At 43.6% G+C, this 13,013-nt stretch overlaps 1 protein-coding gene across 1 annotated transcript, besides 1 other annotated feature; it reads right to left on the reverse strand.

The window, feature by feature from the left end:
* SBDS (SBDS ribosome maturation factor) lies at positions 4,894–12,800 on the reverse strand. The gene is made up of 5 exons (NM_016038.4): positions 12,504–12,800; positions 11,426–11,555; positions 10,431–10,631; positions 8,351–8,515; positions 4,894–5,713 (listed from the first exon to the last, which is right to left on the reverse strand). Exons 1-5 carry the CDS (start codon positions 12,629–12,631, stop codon positions 5,585–5,587), a joined length of 753 nt encoding a protein of 250 aa, NP_057122.2. The 5' UTR covers positions 12,632–12,800; the 3' UTR covers positions 4,894–5,584.
* Positions 12,184–12,233: an enhancer, noted in NCBI's record as "active region_26091". NCBI's record gives its function as "activates an Ori minimal core promoter by ATAC-STARR-seq in GM12878 lymphoblastoid cells {active_cell/tissue: GM12878}" and the evidence as "EXISTENCE:reporter gene assay evidence [ECO:0000049][PMID:35858748]".

Here is a 13,013-nt window from a genome sequence, read left to right on the forward strand (position 1 = left end):
GCCTGCCTGTCTTCCCAGGTACTCAGGAGGCTGAGGTGGGAGGATCACTTGAGCCAGGGAGGTTGAGGCTGTAGTGAGCAGTGATCTTGCTACTGCACTCCAGCCTGGGCGACAGAGCAAGACCCTCCTCCTGCAACAACAACAACAAAAAAAAGTGCACATATTTAAAAATTTTAAGATACCACCAGGCCAGGTGCAGTGGCTCATGCCGTAATCCCAGCACTTTGGGAGGCTGAGGCAGGTGGATCTCCTGAGGTCAAGAGTTTGAGACCTGGCCAGGCATGGTGGCTCACTCTTGTAATCCCAGCACTTTGGGAGGCTGAGGCAGGCGGATCATGAGGTCAGGAGTTCGAGACCAGCCTGGTCAACACAGTGAAACCCCGTCTCTACTAAAAATATAAAAATTAGCTGGGCATGGAGGCGGGTGCCTGTAATCCCAGCTACTGGGGAGGCTGAGGCATGAGAATTGCTTGAACCTGGGAGGTGGAGGTTGCAATGAGCCGAGATCACGCCACTGCACTCCAGCCTGGGTGACAGAGCTAGACTTCATTTCAAAAAAACAAAACAAAACAAAAAAACAGAGTTTGAGACCAGCCTGGCCAACATGGTGAAACCTCGTCTCTACTAAAAATACAAAAAAAAAAAAAAATTATCTGGGCGTGGTGGCATGCACCTGTAATCCCAGCTACTTGGAGAGGCTGAGGCAGGAGAATCGCTTGAACCCAGGAAGCAGAGTTTGCAGTGAGCCAAGATCGTGCCACTGTACTCCAGCCTAGGCAACAAAGGGAGACTCCATCACAAAAAAAGATACCACCAAATTACTTTCTTGAAAGGTTAGAGCCAGTTATGCTTCTATCAGTAAATGCATGAACGTGCCTGTTCCTTCACTTCCTTGCCAATATCACAATTAATCTCTTACCTTTTCTTCAATATGATGGGTAGAAAATGATTTCTCATTGTTTAGCATTTCTCTGAGAGAAGCTGAATATCCTATTTTGCATTTAATTTTAAATTAATGTGTCAATTTTCCCCATGCTTAGGGGTGAATATTAGACCTTTTTCTTGGTTGGTCATAACTTATTGGCATTTTACCTGTCTTACCTGTTGCACATATTTTCTCCTAGCCATAATTTTTTTTTTTTTTTTTTTTTTTTTTTTGAGACAGAGTCTTATTCTCTGTCGCCTAGGCTGGAGTGCAATGGCACAATGTCAGCTCACTGCATCCTCCGCTTCCTGGGCTCAAGAGATTCTTCTGCCTCAGCTTCCTGAGTAGCTGGGATTACAGGCGCGTGCCACCATGCTCAGATAATTTTTTTTTTTTTTGTATTTTTAGTAGAGACAGGGTTTTACCATGTTGCCCAGGCTGGTATTGAACTCCTGACTTAAAGTGATCCACCAGCTTTGGCCTCCCAAAGTGCTGGGATTACAGGCATGAGCCACTGTGCCTAGCTGAGCCATAATATCTTTAAACTTTTTTCTTGAGACAGGGTCTCACTGTGTTGCCTAGGCTGAGTGCAGTGGCCTGATCATGGTTCACTGCATCCTCAACCTCTCAGGCTCAAGCAATCCTCCTACCTCAGCCTTTCTAGTAGCTGGGACTACAGGCATGTGTCATTATACCCAGTTAATTCTTTTTTTTTTTTTTTTGAGACGGAGTCTTGTTCTGTCGCCTAGGCTCAGGCTGGAGTGCTATGGTGCAATCTCAACTCACTGCAACCTTTGCCTCCCGGGTTCAAGCGATTCTCCTGCCTCAGGCTCCCAAGTAGCTGGGACTACAGGCACGTGCCACTACACCCGGCTAATTTTTTGTATTTTTAGTAGAGATGGGGTTTCACCGTGTTAGCCAGGCTGGTCTTGAACTTCTGACCTCAGGTGATCTGCCCGCCTCAACCTCCCAAGTGCTGGCATTACAGGCGTGAGCCACTGCACCCAGCCTACACCCAGTTAATTCTTTAATTTTTGTACAGACAGAGTCTTGCTATGTTGCTCAGGCTGGTCTTGAACTCCTGGACTCAAGCGATGCTCCTGCCTTGGTCTCCCAAAGTGCTGGGATTATAGGCATGAGCCACTGTGCCTGGACTCTTTAAACTTTCTTTAAAGTGTCTTCTGTCATTCTGAAATTTTACATTTTTATGTAGTTAAATCTGTTGGTATTTTCCTTGATAATTTTTAGGTTTCTGTTTTTCTTAAGAAAGTCTTTTAACCCTTAGGTTAAATATTTCCTTATATTTTCTACTAACTCACAGTTTTTTGTTGTTGTTGTTTGTTTGTTTTTTGAGATGGAGTCTCGCTCTGTCGCCCAGGCTGGAGTGCAGTGGTGTGATCTTGGCTCACTGCAATCTCCATCTTCCAGGGTCAAGTGATTCTCCTGCCTCAGCCTCCCGAGTAGCTGGGACTACAGACACGTGCCACCACTCCCGGCTAATTTTTTGTATTTTTAGTAGAGACGGGGTTTCACCGTGTTAGCCAGGATGGTCTCCATCTCCTGACATCGTGATCCGGCAGCCTTGGCCTCCCCAAGTGTTGAGATTACAGGTGTAAGCCAGTATCTGATAGTTTTATGTTTACATTTAGTTCTGATATAAAATATATTTTTTTTGAGATGGAGTTTTGCTCTTGTCACCCAGGCTGGAGTGTAGTGGCAGAATCTTGGCTCACTGCAACCTCTGCCTCCTAGGTTCAAGAGATTCTCTAGCCTCAGCCTCTTGAGCAGCTGGGATTACAGGCGGCCGCCACCATGCCCAGCTAATTTCTTTTTTTTTTTGAGTCAGCGTCTCGCTCTGTCACCCAGGCTGGAGTGCAGTGGCTCACTGCAACCTCTGCCTACCAGGTTCAAGTGATTCTCCTGCCTCAGCCTCCTGAGTAGCTGGGACTAGAGGCATGCGCCACCGTGCCCAGCTAATTTTTGTATTTTTAGTAGAGACAGGGTTTCAGCATGTTGGCCAGGATGGTCTCGATCTCTTGACCTCGTGATCTGCCTGCCTTGGCCTCCCAAAGTCTTGGTATTACAGGCGTGAGCAACCACAGCCAGCTAATTTTTGTATTTTTAATAGAGACTGGGTTTCGTCATTTTGGCCAGGCTGGTCTTGAACTCCTGACCTCAGGTGATCTGCCCACCTGGGCCTCCCAAAGTGCTGGGATTACAGGCATGAGCCACTGTGCCTGGTCCACGTGTTTATTATTTCAGACATTTACTCCACATCTGCTAGGTCCAAAGCATGGTGGGATATACACACACATTGCTAAGTCCCTTGCCCTTAAGGAGCTCACAGTCTAGCCTGAAGGCAGATAATTAAGCAGCTCTAATACAAGTTTGAATAAATCCAGACCCATGAAGGAATTTAAGTAGAGTACTGGCTTCCAGCAACTGGAGCAAATACTTGTGTATGGGGTACAAGGGAAGCTTCAGAGAAAAGAACTGTGGTAAAAGAAGAGGCCTAAGTCTGAAATGTCATTGTGACCAAATGCACACACCATCAGCTTGCATTGAAAAAGTCAAACCAATCCTTAAAATAATCCATTATGGCTGTGGTACTGGGAAGATGATCATGAACCAAAAAATGTTAAGTTCTTTGATAATGAAATTAGTATAAAATTAAAAAAATAAGTTTAGATGATGACTCAGATGTGATCCACATTTGACATTTCTTGAAGTTCCAGCTTTTTAGAAAAAATGAATATTCAGAATCAGAAAATCTTTGTTTTGAGATGGGGTCTGGCTCTGTTGTCCAGGCTGGAGTGCAGTGGGGTGATTTTAGCTCACTGCAACCTCCGCCTCCCGGGCTCAAGTGATCCTCCTGCCTCAGCCTCCCAAGTAGTTGGGAAAACAGGTGCACACCACCATGCCTAATTTTTTGTATTTTTGTAGAGACGGGGTTTCACTGTGTTGCCCAGGCTGGTCTCAAACTCCCAAGCTCAAGTGATTCACCCGCCTTGGCCTCCCAAAGTGCTGGGATTACCGGTGGGAGCCACTGCGCCTGGCCCCAGAAAATCTTAAGGAAATGTTCTATTAAATGTTTATATTTTTTTACTAAGATAGAACTATTGATATATTGAACAAATAGCTGTATCAAAACAGCAGCCTAGCTTTAGCATTAACAGAAAAAGTGTTCATTCCCATGTTATCAATGTATTTTGTTAACAATATAAGAAAAAATTTTGACTTTATAACCTCAATGTTAGTTATTTTAAACTAAAGGGACATTTCTGAGAGCTTGTATTAGCAGGGAGTTGTGTGTGCTTATAAACCAATCAGTACCTTTTCAAGTCAAGAAGCCTGTCTTCAGTTAAAAACTGCTGTCCAGAAATACATCTGTATGTTTATTTTGAGTGAATTTAATTTATATTCTAGAATGTATCTTTTGAAATAGATTTTTTTTCTTTTTTTTGGAGACCGAGTTTCACTCTGTCACCTAGACTGGAGTGCAGTGGCACATTCTCAGCTCATTGCAACCTCTGCCTCCTGGGTTCAAGTGATTCTCCTGCTTCAGCCTCCCGAGTAGCTGGGACTACAGGCGTGCACCACCATGCCTGGCTAATTTTTGTATTTTTAGTAGAGACAGGGTTTCACCATGTGGGTCAGGCTGGTCTCAAACTCCTGACCTCAGGTGATCCGCCTGCCTCGGCCTCCCAAAGTGTTGGGATTGCAGGTGTGAGTCACCTCCCCTGGCCTTGAAGTAGATTTTTAAAAGCTTGCATCTTGTCCATTTAAGTGTTTAAATACTAAAATAATTCTTCCCAATTACATCCCAAGTGTTAGCAAAAATTTTTCAGGTGTTTACAAGTACAGGCCCTGTTCTAAGCACTCTTCATATGGACTTATTCAGTTCTCCTGACAACTCCCTAACCCTACCACAGACACAGGCAGAGAAAAGAAAGGGAGTTAGGAAGTTGTCTAGAAACACAAGCCATAGTTTAATAAACATAAGAGTGGTTTTATTGATTACATACAATTTTAGCTATATTAATATATATTATAAACTTTAAGAATTAGAAATAAGTGACTTTTATTTTTTAACCAAGAATAATCTAAGTTATGGCAGCATGTTCAATGAAAGGTAAGTCCGGCACAATTTTTCTATATCTGTTTCTCAGATAATCAGGAACATCATCCAAGCTTTACATTACGATACCATAATGACCCTCAGAACACAAGTTCCATTAAGTAGAAATGAAGCATCATATGTTTTCTTTTTTAGGAAAGACCCCCCCTTTTGTTGTATAGACATACCCCTAATAATCTTACTCTACTGTACAAATAACTTTTCACCCACAAGAGCTGCCTCAAGTAACTTTCATTTTGGAAAGCTATCAAGGCATGAGACAGAGTAGCAAAATGCCACTCTGGACTTTGCATCTTGGAGTTTCAATTTTGCTTTAGGATTTAGACCCCAGTTTATAATTAAAACCAAATCATTCCCACATTATTATACTTATGTAGGAAAGCCTTGCTGTGTCCACTGTTAACACAAAGATAGAAAATGTCAAATAGTTTAAGCAAGTATTTGGCAGACCACAGACATGAAACAGTGCCGTCGGAAACGGAAACACTTTAGTGTTTTAGAGGTGAAGAGATTGATGGGTGTCATTCAAATTTCTCATCTCCTTCTTCTACATCTTTCAGATTGAGTACTTCCAAAGAACCTTTGCCTTTAGTTTCCTTTTTTATTAGCTCATCAATTTCTCGGAAGCAGCCCGGGTCAATCAGACATACCTGAAACATTTAACGTAGCAGATTACCACATGAGGATGAGCAAGACACAGAATAAACTCAGCTTTAACTTCCTTTGAGGCAAGCACAATGCTGTCCAGATCTCTAATAATACCACAGTTCTATGGTGCAATAGATAAGACAATGGGTAGGGCGGCACACTGGGTTCCAGTTTAGCCTCTGCCCTCAAGTGTCCATGTAGCCCCCTGTGACAAGGCATTAATCCCTATGTTTAAACACTTATTCTGATTCTTCAGCTGTAAATGGAAGGGACAAACTAGAAAACTCTGATTCTTCTCATACTAAAATTTAGCATTACATTTTATAGCTCAGTAAAGTCACCTCCACGTATGAAGGAGAAAAAGCAATGTGAAGACTTATGTAGACACCATGTGTATGTTAATTTATTTTTTTTTGAGATAGAGTGCAGTGGTGTGATCTTGGCTCACTGCAGCCTCCGCCTCCCAGGTTCAAGTGATTCTCCTGCCTCAGCCTCCCAAGAAACTGGGATTACAGGAACCCACCACCACACCTGGCTTATTTTTTGTATTTTTAGTAGAGATAGGGTTTCACCATGTTATCTGCTCACCTTGGCCTCCCAAAGTGCTGGGATTACAGGCACGAGCCACTGTGCCTGGCCCATGTGTACAGTTTTGCAAAGATTTTAGAACTTCAAGTAGTGTCAGATGAGTTAGTTCACATCTACAGTGGATACTCACATACTCAACACTTCTCTACAGCTCATTTACTTTTAAAAAGAAGCTGCAGACAGGGCGCGGTGGCTCAAGCCTGTAATCCCAGCACTTTGGGAGGCCGAGGCGGGTGGATCACCTGAGGTCGGGAGTTCGAGACCAGCCTGACCAACATGGAGAGACCCCGTCTCTACTAAAAATACAAAATTAGCTGGGCGAGGTGGCACATGCCTGTAATCCCAGCTACTCGGGAGGCTGAGGCAGGAGAATCGCTTGAACCCGGGAGGCAGAGGTTGCAGTGAGCTGAGATCACGCCATTGCACTCTAGCTTGGGCAATAAGAGTGAAACCCTGTCTCAAAAATAAATAAATAAATAAATAAATAAATAAGCTGCAAAGCCTTGAAAACATGAATTTGTAGACAGCTCAATTTACACTGTGTTTGAAGCTGTGGGGTGAGGTCATAAGGACATAATGGTTTCGCTGCTTCTTTAAAATGTTCTGTGTTTAGTGTCACCAGGTTCACACACTAATATCCTCTGGAAACACCCTCACAGACATACCCCAAACAATGCTTTATCAGGCTTCTAGGGATTCCTTTCCAGTCAAGTTGACACCTAAAATTACATCCACAATTCCACCCCTTATCAACTTGGCACCCAGACTCATCTCTTTAAACCATTTTTAATTTTCAAATGAAGACAATAACAAGGTCCTAGCTTTTCCTCACATGATGCAATTAACCAGACGCGACTATCCTGCATACAACTCAAAGAGTGCTAATCCTTTTGCCAGAATTCAGCTTTCAGAATTTCATCATTCAGAATTCAATCTTTTTTTTTTTTTTTTGAGATGGAGTTTCGCTCTTGTTGCCCAGGCTGGAGTGCAATGGTGCAATCTTGGCTCACCGCAACCTCTGCCTTCCAGGTTCAAGTGATTCTCCTGCCTCAGCCTCCCGAGTAGCTGGGATTACAGGCATGTGCCACCACGCCAGACTATTTTGTATTTTTAGTAGAGACAGGGTTTCTCCATGTTGGTCAGACTGGTCTCGAACTCCCGACCTCAGGTGATCCACCTGCCTTGGCCTCCCAAAGTGCTGGGATTACAGGCATGAGCCACCGCGCCCAGCCAGGATTCAATCTTTTGGAACTGTGATTTTCAAGATATTAGAAGTTCAGGCTTTGGACTTTAGAGATTTTGATTTTTTTATGATTTCAACATTGGGATTGTGGCATTTGGGATTGTCTTTTAGGATTATGATCAGCACTGGAGTAAAGCATGCAATTGAGCTATCTCTGAAAACTCAATGTAAATTTCCATAGTGTGCTTTGTACTAATTTTTGCAAAATTTTTAAGGTAATTGGAATTATCAATCTTCCACTAAAATAGCAATTTTTAAGTGGCTTATTTTAAATAGTTGCTAAATTTGCTAAAATCATGTATCTAAAACACTACGCATAATATATGACAAAAATAAATGCTGGGAAAAAAATAAAAGGATTTGTGGTAAACAAGGCTGACCAACCTTTAGTCTTAAGAAAATATCTGGCTGGGCGCGGTGGCTCACGCCTGTAATCCCTGCACTTTGGGAGGCTGAGGCAGGTGGATCATGAGGTCAGGAGATCAAGACCGTCCTGGCTAACACGGTGAAACTCCGTCTCTACTAAAAAATACGAAAAATTAGCCAGGCTTGGTGGCGGGTGCCTGTAGTCCCAGCTACACAGGAGGCTGAGGCAGGAGAATGGCGTGTACCCGGGAGGCGGAGCTTGCAGTGAGCTGAGATAGCACCACTGCACTCCAGCCTGGGCAACAGAGCGAGACTCCATCTCAAAAAAAAAAAAGAAAAGAAAATATCTGACGTTTACAACATCTAAATGTTTGCTACAAATTTATTACTAGAGAATACAATATTTAGGTAACATGAAGCAAAGAAAATATTTGACTCTTACGATTTCTAACTGTTGGCCATAATCTTCACTTTCTATGACCTTGATCAGTGGCTTGAGCTTTTCTTTCAGCTTCTTGCCTTCATTGACTGGAAGGATGAACCGAAGCCTCATGTGAGCACGTTCTATCTTCATTTTCTCTTTTAACTGCTTTATCACTTCCAAAGCCTACCAAGACAAAATCGAGAATGCAATTTCTTCTACTATATTATTTCATAAGGTTTTCAAAAACAAAGTAGTTTCCATGTAGTTGGATTAGGTAATGGTTTCTTAGGTATAACATTAAGAACATAAGTGACCGTTAAAAAAAAAATAGAAAAATTGGACTTATCAAGAAGAAAAGCTTTTGTGTTTCAAAAAACTATGAAGAAAGTGAAGGCCAGGTGTGGTGGCTCACGCCTGTAATTCCAGCACTTTGGGAGGCCGAGGCGGGTGCATCACAAGGTCAGGAATTCGAGACCAGCCTGGCCAACATGGTGAAACCCCGTCTCCACTAAAAATACAAAAAAAGAAAAATTAGCCGGGTGTGGTAGTGCACGCCTGTAATCCCAGCTACTCAAGAGGCTGAGGCAGGAGAATTGCTTGAATCCGGGAGGCAGAGTTTGCAAAAAGAGGGCGGGGGGGGTGGGCAAAGAACCTGAACAGAGATTTCTCAAAAGAAGACAGACGAGGCACCAATAAGCACATGGAAATATGCTCAAATCATCATTAAGGAAATGCAAATCAAAACCACGACAAGATACCACCAGGATGGCCATCATCAAAAAGGCAGACAATGACAAGTATTACTGAGGATGTGGAGAAACTGAACTCTTAAACACTGATGGTGGTAAAGTAAAATGGTGCAGCTGTTTTAGAAATAGGTTTGGTAGTCACCAGGTATACAGAAATGAAAACATATGTCTACACAGAAACATACAAGAAATTTTATAGCAGCATTGCTCATCATAGCTCAAAAGTGAAAGCAACCCAATGTCTATCAACTGATAGATGAATGAACAAAATGTGTTTCTTTCCGTACAGTGGGCTATTATTCCGGCATAAAAAAGAAATGACATGCTGATGCAGGTTACAACATGTATGAACCATGAAAAGGCCACATATTGTATGATTCCATTTATATGAAATGTCCAGAATTGAGAAGTCCATAACGAGAGGAGATTAGTGGTTGGGAGGGGCCTGTGGGGGGAAAATGGGGGATGGCTACTAATGGATACTGACTTTCTTTTTGTGGTGATGAAAATGTTCTCGAACCAGGTAGCAGGGAAGGTTCCAAAACTTTGTTAATATACCACTTAAAGTGTACATACTTTATGAGTGTGAAATTTATGGTATGTGAATTATATATAAATTAAAAAATTCAAAAAGAAGTGTTAAAATGACCCTTTAAAAACTCAAGTTTTGTCTTTAAAAGTTTGATTTGGATAGGAAGAAGAAAGTCCTATATACATATTTGTGTTTACTTGAAAAAAAAAAATTACCTATCTTTACAACCCCGTCCTTTTCCTCCATCTCTTCCCCAAACCTCTACCCACTTGCTTCCATGCAGACCCATTTTTTTAAATTTAATTTTTTATATTAAAAAATTTAGAGGTAGGGTACGGTAGCTGATGCCTGTAATCCCAGCACTTTGGGAGGCCAAGGCGGACGGATCACCTAGGGTCAGGAGTTCAAGACCAGCCTGGCCAACATGGTGAAACCTCAACTCTACTAAAAATACAAAATTAGCTGAGTGTGGTGGCACGTGCCTATAATCCCAGCTACTCAGGAGGCTGAGGCAGGAGACTTGCTTGAACGCGGGAGGTGGAGATTGTAGTGAGCCGAGATCATACTACTGCACTCCAGCCTGGGCAATAGAGTAAGACTCTGTCTCAAAAAAAAAAAAAAAAAATTTAGAGATGGGGCGTCCCTATGTTTCCCAGGCTGTTTCCAGGCCTCAAGCAATCCTCCCATCTTGGCTCCCAAAGTGCTAGGATTACAGGCATGAACCATTGTGCCTGGCCCCAGACCCATTATTTTAATGATTTCTTCAGAGAAAACTGATTTCCATGGCTATATTTTGATGACATGAGAAACCACTCACCTGCTGTTTTGTACTCTTGTTGGTTTTCACCGAATAGTGGATGTCCTTCATGGCTCTCTCAATAAGGATCACGGTGTATGGTCTCTTTGTTTCAGGATTCACACATTTGTCTGCCACAATAGTTGCAATGTCCCTAAACATCTGCTCCAGTTGTGTGTGTCTTTCTTTATCTGATACTTGAACTTCTCCTTTAGTCAAAATCTAAAAAAATGCCAACACATTTAAGAAATCACTATCTTTCTCTATCACACACTATTTATTAACTAACCATAAAAAATGAGTAACTGGATGGAGAGAAAATTAAATTTCATCCTCTCCAGCTATCAATATGTAAGTAATGGTTTGAGCTTTGCCCAAAAGATGCAAGAATCTTTTGGCTGGGCTCAGTGGCTCACATCTGTAATCCCAGCACTTTGGGTGGCTAAGGCGGGCATATCACCCAAGGTCAGGAGTTTGAGACCAACCTGGCCAACATGGTGAAACCCCATCTCTACTAAAAATCCAAAAATTAGCCAGGCAGGGTGGTGGGCACCTGTAATCCCAGCTACCCTGGAAGCTGAGGCAAGAGAATCGCTTGAATCCAGGAGGCAGAGGTTGCAGTGAGCTGAGTGCAGTGAAGTGCACTGCACTCCAGCCTGGGCAACAGAGCAAGACTCTGTCCCCCCACCCAAAAAAAAAAGGATCTGAAAGATGAAATACTTGAAAACAAATTCAGTTTTCAGGTATACCACATTCTATAAATGGGGCAATTTATAGAAAAATGAGGTAATTTAGTAGAAAATCTGATTTCAGGAGGTTTTGGCAAAAAAAAAAAAAAAAAAACCACAAAAAACAAACAAAACCACCAAGTTCTTTATTATTAGAAGTGACACTGTGCAGTTCACATTATTGCTTGGTTAGTCTTTCCTCCAGAAAAACAGCCTTTAATGTTTAATATATCTACAAATACGTTATAAATGGTTATTAGGGTTAGCTATGCTGCAGCTGTTACCCACCTGCTTACAGATTTCAGTTTGGTCATCTGTTCCAAACGCACTGATGAGATCTTCCTTTTTGGCAACCTGACCTTTAGAAACATTTACAAACACTGAGTGGGTCTGCAGAACTTCATCGAGGTCTTTTTCCCTTGTGAGGGCAGGAGAGAAAGTCCTATGTGAATATACTTGAAACTTGGACATGCATTTACATTTAAATACGAGATGGCAACAACATGAACGGCAAGACACAACAAATCCCCCTGATGACCTTTAGTGTAGAGGGCAGTTTTCTTTTTCTTACCCCCCAACCCCCGCCCCTAGATGGAATTTCACTGTTTTTGCCCAGGCTGGAGTGCAATGGCGCGATCTCGGGTCACTGTAACCTCAGCCTCCCGGGTTCAAGTGATTCTCCCGCCTCAGCCTCCTGAGTAACTGGGATTACAGGCATGCGCCACCACACCCGGCTAACTTTGTATTTTTAGTAGAGATGGGGTTTCATGTTGGCCAGGCTGGCCTCGAACTCCTGGCCTCAAGTGAACTGCCCGCATCGGCCTGAGGGAACATTTTCAAAACTCAGAACCGTATTTGCCTTACCATTTGCTCACTGGAGAAAAATGTCATGGGAGGACGTAAGAAACACAAGGGTGGGGTGGGGTGCAGACAGCTGCTGCCACGGAATGCCAGTCCCTAGATGGCAGCAGTGAAGACACTACGCACTTTAAACTGCTAGGGCTACTGAGATCTATGACACCAGATGTACCCACAACTATGACAGTATTCGTAAGACTAGGTTCTCAGCCATCATTATTCTAGGAAAAGGACCACAATTACGAGATTTCTTGGCTGCAGCTTTTATGACACCAACAAAACAAAACCCCAAACCAACAACCCAATCCGAACCAACCAAATAAAGAAGAAACCCTTGGCTTAGGCGCCAAGCTCGGACAGCGACGTCTCATGCTCACAGCAGGAATGTTCCATTTCCTCCCCGGCCAACACCCCAGCCTGGCCCATTCACTCGACTTGGGCAGAGACAGGCCGCCTCGGAGGTGACGGCTCAGGCCCAGGCCCAGGCCCGAGGGAGGGGGCTACTCACACGCCGCTCCGCCAGCCGACGACCTTGTTTTTGTAGCAGGCGATTTCGAAGCGCTTCCCGGCACGCTTCATCCGTACCACGGCCACATTGGTTAGGCGGATCTGGTTGGTGGGGGTGAAGATCGACATCGCGGCTGTTCAAAGACCCAGAAGCCGGCGAACCAGGGCTGACCCGCGCCGTCCAGCCTGAAGGCCACCAGCGCCTCGCGGTAACGACCGATCGGCGCGCGGCACTGACCCAACCACCAGTGCGCGGCGCCGCGACTCACTAGCTTCAGGCAGCCGTCACAGTGTGTCTGGCAGGCTTACTTACTGCGCAGGCGTCAGGTGGAGCAGAAGCCGGGAGGGGAAAAGTGAGCGATGACGCCTGCGTATTGTGGCTTTTTACGCCATCTTTCCACGCCCAAAAAGGGAGGTGCTTTTCCTTGGCGTATTTACTTTCGCCAATGAGCTGAGAGCTCTGACAGGATGCTCGCGGATGTTTAGTGACCGGGTTAAAACACAGCGTTGG

Source organism: Homo sapiens, chromosome 7 (assembly GCF_000001405.40).
Source record: "Homo sapiens chromosome 7, GRCh38.p14 Primary Assembly".
NCBI lineage: Eukaryota > Metazoa > Chordata > Mammalia > Primates > Hominidae > Homo > Homo sapiens.

What these genes read in the sequence shown, in the direction of transcription:
- SBDS (NM_016038.4), bottom strand. Translation starts at nt 12,631, where the DNA reads ATGTCGATCTTCACCCCCACCAACCAGATCCGCCTAACCAATGTGGCC. An exon ending in ACAAGAGTACAAAACAGCAG is followed by an intron (nt 8,516 to 10,430) that starts GTGAGTGGTTTC and finishes TTGTCTTGGTAG; the next exon opens with GCTTTGGAAGTGATAAAGCA. An exon ending in ATGGCCAACAGTTAGAAATC is followed by an intron (nt 5,714 to 8,350) that starts GTAAGAGTCAAA and finishes TAAATGTTTCAG; the next exon opens with GTATGTCTGATTGACCCGGG.